Source organism: Homo sapiens, chromosome 5, assembly GCF_000001405.40.
Source record: "Homo sapiens chromosome 5, GRCh38.p14 Primary Assembly".
Lineage (NCBI taxonomy): Eukaryota > Metazoa > Chordata > Mammalia > Primates > Hominidae > Homo > Homo sapiens.
Window position 1 is genome coordinate 15,239,523 of NC_000005.10, and position 17,674 is coordinate 15,257,196.

The 17,674-nt window shown below is 36.3% G+C and overlaps 1 long non-coding RNA gene across 1 annotated transcript in view; it reads right to left on the reverse strand.

Moving 5' to 3' along the window:
* The window catches only part of LINC02149 (long intergenic non-protein coding RNA 2149), a 74,915-nt gene that overhangs the window by 47,877 nt on the left and 9,364 nt on the right, over positions 1-17,674 (reverse strand). Inside the window, exon 2 of the long non-coding RNA NR_109944.1 lies at positions 4,127-4,245. This is a non-coding gene — a long non-coding RNA (long intergenic non-protein coding RNA 2149). The remainder of the gene's footprint in view (positions 1-4,126; positions 4,246-17,674) is intronic.

The following is a 17,674-nucleotide window of genomic DNA, read 5'->3' on the forward strand; positions in this document are numbered from 1 at the left end:
CCAGTCATGCTTCCTGTTAAGCATGCAGAACTGTGAGTCAATTAAATCTCTTTTCTTAAATTACCCAGTCTCAGGTAGTGTTTTATAGCAGTGTGAGAATGGACTAATGCAGAGAATTGGTACCAAGAGTAGGGTACTGCTATAAAGATAACTGAAAATGTGGAAGTGCCTTTGGAACTGAGTAATGGGCAGAGGTTGGAACAGTTTGGAGGGCTCAGAAGAAGACAGGAAGGTGTGGGAAATTTTGGAACTTCCTAGAAACTTGTTAAATGATTTTGCCCAAAATGCTGATAGTGATATGGATGATGAAGTCCAAGATGAGGTGGTCTCAGATGAAGATGAGAAACTTATTGGATACTAGAGTAAAGATCACTGTTGCTATGCTTTAGCAAAGAGATTGACAGCATTTTGTCCCTGCCCTAGAGATCTTTGAACTTGAGAAAGATGATTTAGGGTATCTGGCCGAAGAAATTTCTAACCAACAAAACATTCAAGATGTGACCTGGCTGTTTTTAAAAGTGTACACTCATGTGTGCACAAGGGGATTGTCTGAAACTGGAACTTATATTTAAAAGGGAAGGAGAGCACAAAAGTTTGGAAAAGTTGCAGCCCAGCCATGTGGTAGAAAAGAAAAACCCCTTTTCTGGGGAGAAATTCAAGCCTCCTGCAAAAAATTGCCTAAGTAAAGTAGTACCAAACGTTAGTAGCCAAGACAATGGGGGAAATTTTCTCTAGGGCATTTCAGAGACCTTCACAGCAGCCCCTCTCATCACAGGCCCAGAGGGCTCAGAGAAAAAAATGGTTTCCTGGGCCAGGCCCAGGTCCCACCTGCTCTGTGCAGCCTCAGAATATGGCACCCTGAGTCCCAGCCACTCCAGCTCCAGCAGTGGCTAAAAAGGACCAAGGTACAGCTTGGACCATTGCTTCAGAAGGTGCAAGCCCCAAGCATTGGTAGCTTCCATGTGGTGTTGGGCCTGCAGGTGTGCAGAAGGCAAGAGTTGAGGTTTGGAAACCTTCATCTAGATTTCAGAGGATGTACGGAAACACTTGGATGTCTAGGCAGAAGTCTGGGGCAAGGATGGAGCCTTTATGGGGCAAGGATGGAACCTCTACTAGGGCAGTGCAGAGGGGAAATGTGGGGTTGAAGCCCCCACACAGAGTCTCCACTGGGGGTCTGCCTAGTGGATCTGTGAGAAGAGGGCCATCATCCTCCAGACCCCAGAAGGGTAGATCTATGAACAGCTTGCACCATGCACCTGGAAAGGCTGCAGGCACTCAATGCCAGCCCATGAAAGCAGCCATGGGGGCTGTGCCCCTCAGAGCCACAGGGGCAGAGCTGCCTAAAGTCTTAGGAGCCCACTTCTTGCATCAGCATTCCCTGGATATGAGACATAGAGTCAAAGGAGATTATTGTGGTTTTAGGATTTAATGATTGGCGTGCTGGGTTTGAGACTTGCATGGGGCCTGTAGCCCCTTTGTTTTGGCCAATTTCTCCCATTTGGACTGAGGGCATTTATCCAATGCCCGTATTCCCATTGTATCTGGGAAGTAACTCTTTAAAAACTCTTTCTTGTTTACCACTTATTATAACTATATCCTTCCTACTATTAGTAAACAATTTTTATGTGAACAATTCTCTTTCTAGGCATGAACAGCTACTTAATTTCATGAAGTTGCATATGTTTATATCATTTATCATACTTTGTTTTTGTTCTTGTTGTTTGTATAGAGTAGTTTCTCCTTATGTATGGGTGATACATTCCAATACCTCCAGTGGATGCCTGAAACTGCAGATATCATCAAACCCTATATATGCTGTTTTTTTTTTTGATCTGATAATTGAGAGGGCTCCTAGGTGACTAATGAGCAGGTAGTATATACCGTATGAAAATACTGGACAAAGGGATGATTCACATCCCAAGTGGGATGAAGCAGAACAACATGAAATTTCATCATGTTACTCAGAACAATGGCAATTTAAAATTTATGAAATGTTTATTTCTGGAATTTTACATTTAATATTTTTGGACCAGAGTTGACCATGAGTAACAAACTGCAGAAAGTGAAACCACAGCTAAGGGGGGCTATTGTACTTGACTCTTCCTGCCTATGAGATTATATACTTCTGAGCAGGAGACATTGCTATACTCATCATTGCAATCCCCCACAGTGCCTTGAATATGCCAGAGGTTTACTTAATATTTGGTGAACTGAGTATGTAGCTCCATGTTAGATTATTAGGCTTAGTGAATATTGGAACTACTGCATTCTTGTATACTGTAAGCCAGTTATTCCTCAATGGGAGATGATTTTACCCCTAAGGGGACATTTGGTAATATCTGGAGACGTTTTTCATTTTCACAATTGTGTATGTTTAGGGTCCCATGGTATTTAGAGAGTAGAGTTCAGGGATGCTGCTCAACATTCTACAAGGCACAGGATAGTTCCCTGAAACAAAAAATTATCTGACCCAAATGTTGATGGTGATGAGGTTGAGAAATCCTGCTTTAAACACAAAAAAAATATATCCACAAAAATATGTTTATGGGCCAATATAGTCTTGTACTAATAATAATAACCAGTATTTTATAATAAATATCACTTAAATAGGATTCAGCTTTTGAGAAATGCAATTCTGTTATTTGAGGGATTTCTGAAATTAGAAATTTATTTGAGAGTTTTTATAGAGCTTTATTTTCATCATGGTGTAAATGTTATTAACCTCATAGCTCATCTCAACTTATGATGTAAGTTCAATAGAGGAATATTTCTCTTGCTTTAAAAATTTGGTTTAATATTTTATAAAAATGATAAACAGATGCCAACCTTGCATATATTTTTAAAAAGTAGTTTCAATGTTTTCAAATATGTTTGAGTTTTATAAATATTATCATAGAATAAAATCTTATGGGTATATTTAGTTTTTTCTTATGTATTATTATGCAATTGAAGAATTAAATGTAAAGGACATGAAAGAGCATGCTCCAGATAAAGACATAGAAAACAGAGACATAGAGAACATAGAGAATAATACTCTTTACCTTTGCTTAAGAGGTAAGATACCCATTTTCTGCTTGATCAATCTTAGGCAAGCTATGGTATTAGGGAAGTAGTGGCAGGATGGTTATATTGGGAATTGGAGAAAAAGCTGTGTCAAGACTTGTTTAAAGTAGAAAAAGAACTCACCCCTGTGTTCCCCTTCTCTAGTATCTTCCTTCTCAGTTGCTAAGAATGTGGCACAGCCTGTAATGTAGCCTGATTCTTTACCTGGACTGCATGATTCTGTAGTCCACTAATATTTCAGGGAATGCTAGGGTTGTGATATTTCTGCCATCTGCCTGTTGAGACATTGTCATACGATACATTTTGATGCTTGGATCCATAAGAGAGAGAAATAGGAATTAGTTTTCTACATCACAAGGCTAAGTTTTCACCTTATCTCTTTTAGTTCAACAGAAGGCAGGGCACATGCGTTTTCTACTCTTCTCTTTATTTAAAAAAATGATGATGATGATAATAATAATACCTATCCTACGTAAGTGAAACTACTGGTTTCATAAATGGGTCTTGAAAGCTAACACATTCTACAAATTACGTGAATTATTATTTAACAAGTACATACTTGAGTTTTGAGGAGAGAAAAAAACTCTTTAAAACTTTTAGAAGCCTCTTCTTTTTCTGACAATATGGCAGTAAGTGAAAATTTTCCTTCTGGAGGATCCTAGAAACTGCTGTGTTGGGTCACAGCTTTTGAAGATAGAGTAAGTTTTTCTGTGAGGAAAAGTTGATAGAATATGTGCTTCCCCCCACCCTTTTTAAACTTCAAAAATAAGACTCTAATTACAGATATCTTTTCCAGATTGAACCACCACTAATTTAACCAAAAACATGTGTGTGTAACAAAAGAACTTGTAAAAGGAACATTTGAGGTTTCACATGGATTTTTGCAAAAGACAAACACAGTAAAATCACAGAATTGGCTGACGGACACTCTGCTATACTAAGGCTATAAAGGTTTTATTGAGTCCTTGGGACTTATAATATCCATTCATCCTTCAAGAGAAACGAAAGGTCTTAATCCACAGAGGATCTTTCCACAGCTTACCAGAGAAGCAAATCCTCCCACCTTGAATGACACAGTCTAGGGCTTTCCGGAGCCCAGTGTGATTTGCACATCTGATCTTCATCGATCCCAGTATCAGATGTGCTGTGGAGAGGTCTCAGCCCTGTCATTTAACATATGACCTGAAATGATATGAGAACTGGAGTTACTGCTGTATGTTTCTGATTAGGAAATTGCCCATTTTGCAACTCTCATTTCAGAAAGATGCCTAATAATGCCAAGAGTACTAAATAGATATTCACCAATCACCAAAAAATGTAAGTTTAACTGACTCATATTCAAGATGAATGTGCTCAGAACTAGACACCTAGAGACCACCTATTAAAACCAGGAAGGCTGACAAATGGAGATGCACTCTACACCCCATGGAAAAGCCCTCAAAGTTTTGTAGTGATATTGAGAAAAATTTTTTAATAAGTTGAATTCAATAAACAGTTCCTTTTCCCTTGTGCTGCCTAGTTACGCACTCTTATTTTCTTTGTCCTTGCTCATAAGCTGTTAAGAGAAATTGTTGAGAAGCTGAGCAGACCAATACACTAGACCAAGAGCCTTAGAGGCCATCAGATAGCTTAGATAGATAGGCAATATCTGCTGTATTATTACACTACTTGGAAATGAGGAGGGTCATTGTAATGAGAAATATCCTTTGGACTGTTTTGAAACACTGCGATTGAGGGGGAGGAGAAAGGGGAGCTGTTGCTTAGCAGTTATCTATTTTGTCAATTATAGGGGCCCAGTATATCCACATTCCCAGTCCTGAGCACAACAGATTCTTCTCAAACAAGAAGAAAAGAGAAATACCTGTGGGCAAACACTATTCTTTTTCTTTTTTAGCAGCTTTATTGAGGTATAATTGACAAAAATGTATATATTTAGGGTGTACAACATGATGATTTTATATACATACACATTGTGAAATATTTACCACAGTCAAGTTAATGAACACATCAATCATGTCACATAATAACCTTTTTTATTTTGTAGTGAGAACAGAAGATCTAGTCTCTTACAAATGTCAAATATACACTATATCATTATTAAGTATAGTCACCATACTGTATGTCAGAGTCCCAGAAGGTATTCATCTTATGAATGCAAGGTATTTGGGGGTAATGCTTTATTACTTATCTCTCAAATTCTTCTATACTGGTAATAAAAGTAATTGTGAAGCCACCATCTCTAATAATCACTGGTTATCTGGTGATACATACAGCAGTTATTATATAGAATAATATTATAATTTCTTGTCTAAATACTTTTAGTAAAAAATAATTAATAAATATCTGGGTAAAGGCAGCAAGTAATTCAGGGTCACACACATTTTTCCAATATTAAACAAAATAAAATTTAAAAAGTTAACCAAAAAAAAGCAGCCAAAAATTTACTAGTAGCAATCAAACCAGGAAAAATACTAAATTTTATGACAAATATTTCTAAAGGTGAAGCCAAGGAAAAAACTTGAAATGTTTCTACGTAGGTTTAAGCCACAGTCAGACCAACAGCCAGAAGCAATACCAATGAAAGAATGATAATTAATAAAATCTTATGAATATGTATCACTATTCTTTAATGTGGAGAGATGTGAGTCAATGAAATGAGTAGGAAATACTGGGAAATTAGAAAAATATTTAAGTATGAAACACCTACCTGTCACTATAAGACCAGAGCAAAGGCAGAGAGGACAGTGAGGGTTTGCAGTTTTCTGGTCCCTTGCTGAACTGGGAGAATGGAAGGAGTCTACATCCATGGTGGGTGGAATGAGCTGCTGTGCAGGATTTTTAATGGAATTTTGGAAGGGAAAGCAGAGTTCATGTCCCTTTTAATGAGTCAACAAACTAGGCCCTTACACTCACCAGTTTGTACACTGAAACTTCAAAAAAGTAAATAGACAGCAGTTCCTAGACCTCAAAGTATAGCTTGAGTGGCAAAAGACAAATCAATTCCATATAAGATGAGAAGGAAATGGAAGATAATTCACTTATACCATATTAGAGCTCATAAGTTCTGCATATTTTGCATAAGCAAGGTGAAAAAAAGTCATGACAAATATGCAAATGTGTTAAAGCAAAATGTTTTAAATGGGAAAAGGGGAGAAAGGAAGGAAGGATGAAGGGAAGGAAAAAAAAGATGCAGCAGGCATAACAAAATGGACTCAGTTTGGAAGAAAACACAGACCAAGAAAAAGAAGCAGATTTCCCACAAGTGTCAAAGAAAAACGGAATAAGATTCATTCAATAAAACAGGCCTTAAAGATGAATTTTTTTAAAAAAAGGTAGAATAATGTTAACATGGAAAGTGAAATAGAGAGACAAAATTGAGAACTAGGCAAAACATTACAGAGTTACCAAGTTAACCATAAAGGGAAAGGAATGTAGTAATGGCAAAGAGAAAATCCTTGAGATAATTACTCTGAATTCAGAAAAAAAAAAAAAGGAGACAAGGAATAATCACAGAGTTGATGAAAAAGATGGAAGGCAGAGATGATACAACATAGGAATAATTGGTTTCCTTTAATTAGGGACCCATACTAATGGAACAGAAATAAGTTTACAGAAAACTTTTCCCTAAAGGAAGGAAGAAATAAACTATATATTGAAATGACGTGTGGTATATAAGAAAAAAACTGATTGATAAAGAAGAATTTACATGGAAACCTCACTTCAAATAAAATCTGAAGACCTTCAATTGCCTCAAAGCCCAAGGTGACACATATGTCCATTGCCTCTGTGACTTCATCTCATATTTATTCTTGGCAGAACTCACTCTTCACTGGCCATGCTTATCTTCCTTGCTGTCACTCAATATGTCAGTGACAATAATGCCCATGGTCTTTGCATCTGCTCCACTTTATGCCTAGAAGGCTCCTCATCAGATACCCACATACCTGGATTCTTTATTACCTTCCCAGTAAGACTTTCCTTGCTCGTTAAAATCGAAACACAGTATTCAGTCATTCTCATCCAACTTTCTCACTTGATTTTCTCCATAGCAATTATCTCCTTCTGATATATTATGTAATTTACTTTTTATTTTAGTTTCTGTTTCTGTCTACAATACAAGGTATCTACCCCCAAGGACAAGATTTTGCTTTTATTTTTGTTTTGATTTTACTGCTCTTAGTTCTAAAAAATGACTGACATATTATAGATAATTGATAAGTATTTATTAAATAAATGATGCCTGTGGGTTATTGCCTGCTAAAGAAGCAAGCCAGCCATCTCCAGTAAACAAGCAAGAATGAATCAATAAAGACAGTAAAGGCACCAGGACTAAGTCTGGCAGGCAGTGCTGTGCAGGAGCCAGTGTCCCCCGGCTCCTAGAGCCAACTCTGTGCATCTCTTCTCAACTCTGTGTTCAGTGACATCATACGGTAACCTGAAATCAGCCACGAGAGCATTCATACCACAGAAATCAGCAAATGCTACAAGTGAGGGCACTTTTCCTAGAGAGCTGGCTATTCAACCTTTACTAGTATATGGCTGTGTAAATGAAGCAACTAAACATGGAATCAGAGGACTGAAATTTGAATCCCAGCTCTACTACATACTAGTTCTCTAATTTGGGAAGATCATTTCCCATGGCTGAGTGTCGGTTTTCTCGACTTTAAAGTGAGAGGGAGAAAACCCGTCATGAAGGTGGTCTGAGATATAACACATAGAAGGGACTTTGGAATCTCTAATCTCTACTCACTTGGCCTCTCCACTCCACATAGCCCAGGCACCGTTGAAAACCCTCACTGCCTACTCCCTGGATTGTCTGGGCTATCAGGTAACGAGATTTATTTGTATTACATAGTTGGATACAGCTTCCAGTATTTTGTTAATGATTTTGAATTTTAGTCTGTAATTTTGTAGTTTAGCTACAAAATTCTGTAGATAAGACTTTTCTATCTTGTTTTGGAATCAAAGTAATACAGATTTCATTAAAAAAATTGAGAAGCATTCTCTAATTTTCTGTTCTCTGGGAGAGTTTTTATAAGACTGACTGAAATAATTTCCTTTTGGAATATTCAATAGAACTTGCTTGCTTCTGGACCTGGTGGTATTTTGAAAGCTATATTTCTATTGATTTGATTCATTTAAATGTTACAAAGATACTAAAGGTTTTGTTTTTGTTGATTCAGCTTTGATAAGTTATATTTTCCCAAGAATGTGTATATTTTATCAAATATTCAAGGCCAATAAACATTCAAAATGTTTTCTCTTTTTTTGACTATATATTTTTTTAAATAGTACAATCTACAGGAAATACCCATGATGTCTAAGGCAGGTAACCTGACTCTAACATTAACAAAATACTGCCTAGCATCAGGAAAATAACTCATGCCAAGTATCAAGAAGTCAGAATATTAGAAAAGAAGACAAGGTAGATAAAGTACAGTCAAAAACAAAAGGAATGTAACATAACAAAATCAAAATTGCTAAACAGGAAGAGAATATAAAATCTGTAGTTTCCATATTAAAAACAGAAATTATAAAAGTAAATATGCATTACATTTTAAAATAAGGCATATATTTAATTTATTAGTAAAAATGAAGACTGAAGGGTGGGAAACATTATGGCTAAATGTATATTTTTAAATTGATTATGAAATTGGGCTTTTACATGGAATTATCAGTTTGGTAGATGCTAAATAACTGTGTGCCTCACTGCTGCTCTTTTATTTGAACTCTTTGTTTGTAACCTCTCTCTTTTTCCACTGTGTTGGTGTTATTTTTTGTTTGTGAATCTTTTTCTTTGTGAGTCTCAATTTTTGATGTACATATGGGGAGCTTATGCCATTAAGTGACTATAATAGCATCTCTGTGTGTGTGTGTGTGTATATATATGTATATGTATATATGTATACATATACATATATATACACACATACACACACACACACACATATATATATATATACATGTACACACAGAATATATATATCTATCTTCATGGTAAATATCACTAAGAATGCTTTAGGGCATAAAGCCTATTTTGTCTGTTACTAAATAGCCATACTAGGTTTATTTTGATTGGTTTTGCCTGGTATATCTGTTCCCCATGCCTTGACTCCAACCTGCCTGTGTTTTAATGCACTGTCTGTTATAACACATAAACCTGGAATTTGTTTTTCCCTTCTCCTGCCATTTCAATTGATTAATATTTTTAAATTCAAATTTTCTCTTTATTTTCCTGGAGTTTACACATTGTATTTCTACCATGTTAGTGGTTACCCTTAAATTGTTCACATTAGTAATTGATTTAACACAGTCTAAAGTTAATCATTATCTTTATTATCTTTTCACATAATGCAAGGACCTTAGAATAGCTTAAAGCTAACCAGTTCCTCTTAAGTGTTATTGCTAGCTAGTGCACCATTTCAATCTTTTTAGAGTTCTAAGAACAAGTATTATTATTATTGTTTGAAATAGTATTTATTTAGATATAACCATGTGTTTACCATTTTCTTTGCTCCTTCTCCTTAGTGGATCTCCACCCTCCCTGCTGGAATCATTTTATTTGCTTATAGTGTACTTTTTAAAAAGTGCATTGTATGTTATGGCATATTCTCTTGTTTTTGTTTCTCGTTTGAAAAGATCTATTTTTTGGTCTTCATTCTTGAATGATAGTTAAGTTAATGGCTATTTTCCCACAGCATTTTAGAGATATTAGTTCACCACGGTCAGTCTTCCATTGTTACTGTTAAGCAATCTACTGCCTGTTAAATTCCTTTGTGGTTAATCTCCTTTCCTCTCTGACCTTTTTTGCGGTTTTCTCATAGTCAATATATGTAATTGCTAACTGTCATAAATGCCTTCCTGTATAACTAGCCTAAAATATTTTATATGTTAGGAAGATGATTTTTTTCTTAGTCTTATGAAAACTATACTCTATATGGTTATTTGCCATTCCTTTATTAATTGTTTCATTTAGTTAACATTTATGGAATATCCTCTACATTTATGGAGTTGTTCTAGGTACCAGCAATAGAGGCAAAAACAAAGCAAAGAAGGCCTGTGCTCTAATAGAGCTTATCTTCCACTTTCAGTTAAGTCTCACCTCATTTTTCCATAGGCTTTAAAAATATTGGGTTAATTAGCAATTTTCCTTATGTGCTCGATTTTCCACCCCTAATAATTATTATCTTTCTTGTAAGCCTTCTTAACACCTACTTTGTAACCTTGAGTCTGCGAAAGTATATTAATGATAAGCAAGGCTCTAATGAAGACTTTGATGGTCTCAGAGTCAAAAGTTCTCTTTAATTTCAGAGTTACAAAAAAGCACACCGAGGTGGAATTTAGGATACTAGGACTCTTGTTCAAACTTCAGTGGTTGAGCGGTCTTGAAAAAATTCCTAAACGATTCTGAGTTCTAATTTCCTAAATTCTAAAATGAAGAAGTAGTCTCAATAATTCTTCAAGTTCATCTAGTTCTACTGCTTTACTTTCCAAAGGAGTAGCAAGTAGACACCTTGGATAAGTCCTGAAATTTATCCTCTCCTATTCAGTTGTAAAGAGAAAGAGTGCTCTTTGCATAAGAGCATTTGTATCAGGAATGACTTCATTTGCGAGTACAGAAAATCCAGTTTCATGGATAAACAAATAGGAGGTTAGATTTATTATTTCATGTGATAATAAGTCTTAAATAGGCGAGTTCAGGATTAATATAGTTGCTTACATATGTCACAAGGGGCCCAGGCTCCTTCTACTTTTCTACTTTGTCATCATGAGCAAGAAGCATTTGTTCTCACTGTGGCAGGATGGCAGCCATGCCTCCAAGCCTTTCCTTTCCCTTTCAGGCAGCAGAAGAGACAAGGAGAAAAAGCTAAAGAGGCAAAGTGGGCCACAGCAACTGAGTCTGTTCCTTTCTTAAAAAGCTTTCTTGGAAATTCTCCCACTGACTTCCATGAACAAATAATTATCCAGAATTGTGTCACATGGTATTACTATCTGTAAGTAGCCATGAAAATTTTACTATTTTAGTTTTCAGCCTTTCTAACAAAGAAAGCTAACACATACTTAAACTGACAAAGTCATTACCTGTCTTGCCTTTGTTAAAAAAAAAACATAAAGACTTAGATACAAGGAAGTGTGCTAGGAGAAAACATCAAAACATCTAATCATTATAAAAACAAACGACAAAATTCAGTGATGGAAAGTAAGAATTAACTGAAAATGTGTGATTTTGAATGAAATTCGTGTTTCCTTCACCCTGCATTTTGATCATGTCACATGTTCTCTTGATACAAAAGCAAGATGCTTTCCATTATCTTTGTTCTATATACATACAGATGACCTTAAAGTGCAGAGACAGAGACAAAGGAAGAAGAGAGGTATTCAGTGCAGAGTTGAATGTAGTTACTTTCTATGTTCTCAAGCCACCTTGACTTGAAGATGATCACGTAGCTTTTAATTATATACAATGGAATTCATGTTGTCAATCAACTGGGTTTATTCTGTGGACTGCTCTTTGCATAGAGGAGAGTGGCTTTAAACAAATTATCTTCTACCATTGTTTTATTTTCCCTCTGATATGAATCCTTTCTAGTGCACTTGGCTCTCAATGCTTAATGCTTAAGGTATACTATGAGTCTGACTGCTTAATGTTGCTTAATGCTTCAAATGTAGTAGGATATAATGGAAATGATGTGAGGTTAAAGATCACAAGACCTGGATTCAAGTGCTTCCTTCTATGAAGCTCACCAATCATATCATCTGTCAAAACATTAAAGGAAACATTACTACCCACACCATGTGATTGTTGTAACAGTCAATGAGAAAAAAATAACCATTAAGTCTCACCTATTTGCATTTGTTTTTGTTGCATTTGCTTTTGGGTTCTTGGTCATGAAGTCTTTGCCAAAGCTAATGTCTAGAAGAGTTTTTCTGATGCTATCTTCTAAAATTTTTATGGTTTCAGATCCTAGATTTAAGTCTTTGATCCATCTTGCATTGATTTTTGCATAAGGTGAGAGATGAGGATCCAGTTTCATTCTCTTACCTGTGGCTTGCCAATTAATCCCAGAACCATTTGTTGAATAGGGTGACCTTTCCCCACTTTATTTTTCTGTTTGTTTTGTCAAAGATCAGTTTGCTATAAGTATTTTGGGTTTATTTCTAGGTTCTCTATTCTGTTTCATTAATTTAACTAAAGAGCTTCTGCACAGGAAAAGGAACAGTTGGCAGAGTAAACAGGCAGCCCACACAGTGGGAGAAAATATTCACAATCTATATATCTGACAAAGGACTAATATTGAGAATCTGCAAAGAACTCAAACAAATCAGGAAGAAAAAAACAAACAATCCCATCAAAAAGTGGGCTAAGGACATAAACAGACAATTCTCAAAAGAAGATATACAAGTGGACAAAAATATGAAAAAATGCTCAACATCACTAATGATCAGGGAAATGCAAATCAAAACCACAATGCAATACCACCTTTCTTCTGCAAGAATGGCCATAATCAAAATAAAAAAAAATAGATGTCGGTATGGATATGGTAAAAAGGGAACATTTCTATGCTGCTGGCGGGAATGTAAACTAGCACTACCCCTATGGAAAACAGTGTGAAGATTCCTTAAAGAACTAAGAGTAGAACTTCCATTTGATCCAGCAATCCCACCACTGGATAGCTACCCAGAGGAACAGAAATCATTATACAAAAAGATAGTTGCACATGCATGTTTACAGCAGCACAATTCACAATTGCAAAAATATGGACCCGGCCCAAATGCCCATCAATCAATGACTGGATAAAGAAATTGTGGTGTATATATGCGATGGAATACTACTCAGCCATAAAATGGAATGATTTAATGGCATTTGCAGCAACCTGGATAACATTGGAGACTATTATCCTAAGTGAAGTAACTCAAGAATGAAAAACCAAACATCCTAGATTCTGACTCATAAGTGGGAGCTAAGCTATGAGGATGCGAAGGCATAAGAATGATACAATGGACTTTAGAGACTCAGGGGAAAGGGCAGGAGGGAGATGAGGGATAAAAGACTACAAATGGGGTTCAGTGTATACTCCTTGGGTGATGGGTGCTCCAAAATACCACAAATCACTACTAAAGAACTTACTCATCAATCTTTTCTATAATTATGGAACATTAACATTCAGCATTCTACAAACCTCATGGAGAAATAGACAAGTCATTATGTACTTTGTAATATAATCATCACTAAAATAGAAATAATACACAAGTGAAGCAGTAGTTATAATGATTATTTAAATCTGTGTAGAGAAGATAGGAAGGGCTGCTTAGAGAATATAGTCCTTGCACCGAGACTCTTAAGAACATATAAGATCTTCTAGGGAAGTAAGATGTGGGAGGGAATTCATGAAGAAGGGGAGGAGCCAAGAACTATTGAATGTGATGTATTAGGAGAGGTGTGACGGATAGAAGGCTGGACAAGAAAGCAAAGCCCACATCATAAAGAGCCTTAGTATATGCCTGATTAAGGAGGTACATTCTGTTGTGTAGGCTATAGGGAAGTTTGAAGAATTTTGAGCAAGTCAAAGAACAAAGAGAGAGAGAGAAAGAAAGAAAGAGAAATAAAGAAAGCAACCCAATAACATTGTCCAGAATGGATTGGAAGGGGTGGGAAGCCTGTGAGTAGACTATTGCAATTGTCCTACATGGAATGATAGATGATACCATGAATACCTGGGAGTGGGCAGGTGGGTTGTGGATTATTTGGGAAGTAAATTAACTGAATGTTTTGATCAATTTGATATGGAAGGGAGTGAAGAAGCTTATTGAGACTCAGATTTTTGGCTGGATATTATTATTCTCTGAGATAAGGAATTTGGAGGACAGAGTCAGAGTAGCTTAAATGATTGAGAGTATAGTTCAAAGCAACCTGAGTTTGAGATATAGACAAAGTAGGAGATGGGGCTTTGGAGGATCTAAGTAGCGATGCACAGACAGCCATTAGATATCCTGTAATTCACTCATTCAATATTCATTAAATATCTATGGGCCAGGCACTAGGCTGGGCAGAGAGGATGTAAGATGATAGAATATAGTTTCCTCAAGGATTTTGTTGTCCTACTGGAAAATAATCATATACTACTGTAAGTTAAATGAAACCATGTAAATGTTAAGATAAAGGTAAATAAAGAACATGAGGGATAATACATTAATTTGGTTCTTAAAAGGAACGCCTAGAATGGAAGTTCATTGGTTTAAGAACATCAACATGGAGGCAATTGATGAACCCATGGGCATTGCTGGGATTGCACAGGGAAACATGTAAGATGAGAAGAGAAAATTACTGAGGTCTACCTAGAAGTCACCAACAAGCTTGAGAAAGGAGAGGCAGGACAGAGTGGTACTTAACAGCAGGGGTGTTGTTTCAGAAAAGACCAAGATTTGAGTCCCAGCTCTGCCTCTTCTGAATGATTACCTTGTAAGACTTATTCAACCTCTTTAAGGATATTTTATCATTTAAAAAATGAACGTGTTGTTACTAGGTCTGACTCAAAGGGGTGTGGAAAGAATTAGAGAAATGATGTTTAAGCCTAGAAGACACATAGTATTTTAAGTTAAAATGTTTAAAAATATTTTAAATCTCCAGTAAAATTGGAAAACAAGAGTTTAAAGATGAGAATAAGAACAGGGAGACAGTCCTGCCTTGGAAGCTAGGAAATAAAATAATTTCAAAATAGAAGTCAGTAGTCATCTGTGCCAGATATTGCAGCAAGGCTAATATAGTGAGGAATAAAAATTGTCTGTTGGGTTGAGGGATAGAAGGCCATTTTTTGCCTTGAGTGAAAGTGGTTTCTAATGTCTTCTGGAGCCAGTGGTTTGAAGGTGGATGGAGGGTAAAGAATTGCAAAGAACAAGACACAATTATTCTTTCAGGAATGTTGGTGCTGAAAGAGGAGGTAGATAGCTTGAGGGAGATGAAGTGTCAAAGGGAGAGCATTGTTTTTCCTCTAAGATGGTAAAAACTGTTTTCTATGTGGATAAGAGAGAATCCGTGAAGAAGAAAATGGTGAAGAAACAGGAAAGAAAAAATACTTGGATTGAGGCCCAGGAGACTGTTGAGGATATGAGGACTGGAGCATTTACCGCTGGGTGAGCTTTGAAGAGGACCTAAGTTAGCAGGGATGGAGAAATTATCTTGATTAGGTCATCTCTGTGTGTTGAGTTTCAGTTTTCATGGAGATGGGTGGTTATTGCCCAATGGGGTCAAGCAGACGGCTTCTATGAATAGAGCTGGCCTGCCTGAGTGCATCTGCAGACATTATGTGAGTGGTAGGGCTTAGATGGAATTAGAGCACTGAGGCTCCTCTGTTTCAGCTGGTTGTACCTTGTAAGAATATTGAGGCCAAAGTTGTGAGACATTCCAGTTTTTCAAAAGAAGCCAAAAGCTTGGATTTTATATGAAATATCCTGGTTTTATTTGGGTTCTCATTTAAAGGAAACAAAAAGCCAAGCCCAACAAAACCCACCTGTGTGCTAGACTTGGCCCATGGACCACTAGCTTGTAATTTCTACCACGAGAAGAGAGAATGCAGTGTTGGAAAAGATAGAGACTCTGAACTAGTAAGACAAATACACAGACAGGGGCACATGGTCAGAGATCAGGAGACTATGAACTATCTGACTCATTTGTTGCTCTAAAGGTAGGCTTAATGGTTGCTGTGAATGAAGACATCAATAGAAATAATAAGAAAGCCAGTAACAGCCTTCATATTTTAAAGGTGCTTCCCTTCTTGTCCCCACTTTGCACTGACACGTGTATGCTCAGCCATTCTTGCTTGTGCTCCTCCCCTGACTACTCCAAACACATCCAAGCATCTTCCTCCATTACCACCAGGATTCTTCACTTCTCCTCTGGTACCAAAGCCCCAAGGGGAGGATGGGCAAAGGAGAGTGGTTTAAATTGGAAAGAAAAAGAGCTTTCAATCCAATTTCATCCCCTTTCCCACCTTATCCTGACCTTAGACGTGTTGGAAGGGATGGCATTTTCCTATATTACAAAAGTAAGTTGCAGTCCACTAATATTATAGTCTCCTTGGCTCCATCTCTAACCTGGCAAGCATGGAAAAAATGGAAGTTTACATATTGAAAAAAAAAAAACAACTTCTAGATTAGCTCATGTTTTGTTTGGAAAACATATGACTCTGCCTGGAGATAGTAGAGTAATGCAGTTCCTTTATGGTGTGGGGGGATATTGTGACATTTCCTAAGCATAGTAGCCTCGTGGTTTCTTGGATGGTAAATGTCTAAAAGAAACTTGCAAAAAGTTGTTTTGTAAACTTAACAGAAACTTAAGATAAAAAATGTCATTTTTGGCTCTAACTGCAATAATTGCTTAGAGAGTACCACATGCGTATTTTAAAAGGTTTCAGAAGAAAATATTTAATCATTACATGCTGAATTATATGTATAATTCTTTAGTAAAAAGTGTTGTTTTCTCTTATTGTAGAATGTGGAATAAGAGAAGTGTTAATTTCTCTTCCTGAAGGTAAGTATAATTGTGGTAAACCTAAAGTAAGACTGATGGTATATATTGCCAGGAGCAAAGATATACACAATGGCTGAATGGCACTACCAGGGACCTTCAAAAGCTTTGTGCAAGAGGAGACTGCAGGTGTGCACTCACTGCTGTGCCCTTGGTGACTAGCTCAAAGTCTAGACTATGCAGAGGGCTCCCTAATCATTTTTAAAAGGAAGAAATGGGAGTTATGTGTGAGGTACGTATTTTAGTTTGCATATAACTATTTTGTTACTTTACTTTTTAAAGTTTGAATTTTGCCTCAATTAGATTATTTTCTTTATTAGGTTTTTATTTTAAATATATAGCATTGATACTTCATTGTAGTAACTCAATAAATTTTTGGTGTGTCTACACAGCTTTTCCACATTGAACTAATTTGTTCTGATTTTTTCCACTTAGCTGCTAAAGTCCTTCAACGCTGTGCAGATACAGTAAGGATGTATTCTCTAGGAAATTGAAGAGACGTTTTTAGTCCCCATTGCAACTTTTTCAGTCTCTCTTCTGTAGAACACTAGTATGAGTCAAGATGTTAAAGAGGTCGGCCAAAAAAGTTTATGGTGGCCAAGTAAGTTTAGGAAAGACAGCATTTTGGGACTAGACCTTTGGGAAAGTCTTTTTTTTTTTTTCCTCCTCTAACGCAATTCAGCATTGAAAGCCTTGATATATATTAGTTTATTAAGGGCTCTGAAAAATCCTTCAATAAAATAAATCTATTTAGTTTTATTTATCCAAGCACACCCAATTTTTTTGACCATGGGATCTATTTCTAGTGGTATTAAGTGTTCCATACAAAAAGCTTATAAAATGTTGCCCTGCCCTGTACTTATATAGTTGTGCTAATTCTTAATATATTATAAATCAAATTGAATGTACCATGAAAAAGAAATAAAACTAAAACAAATTTGGACATCACTTTCTGATACTTGTAAGGTTTTTCTTTATTTTTAGAAAATACACGATGAACTTTAAAGTGTATGAAATGTGTGCAGAGTAGTTAAATGACCTAACAGGGTTCTTTGGTTTCTAATGTATAATTTTCCAAGCCAAAAA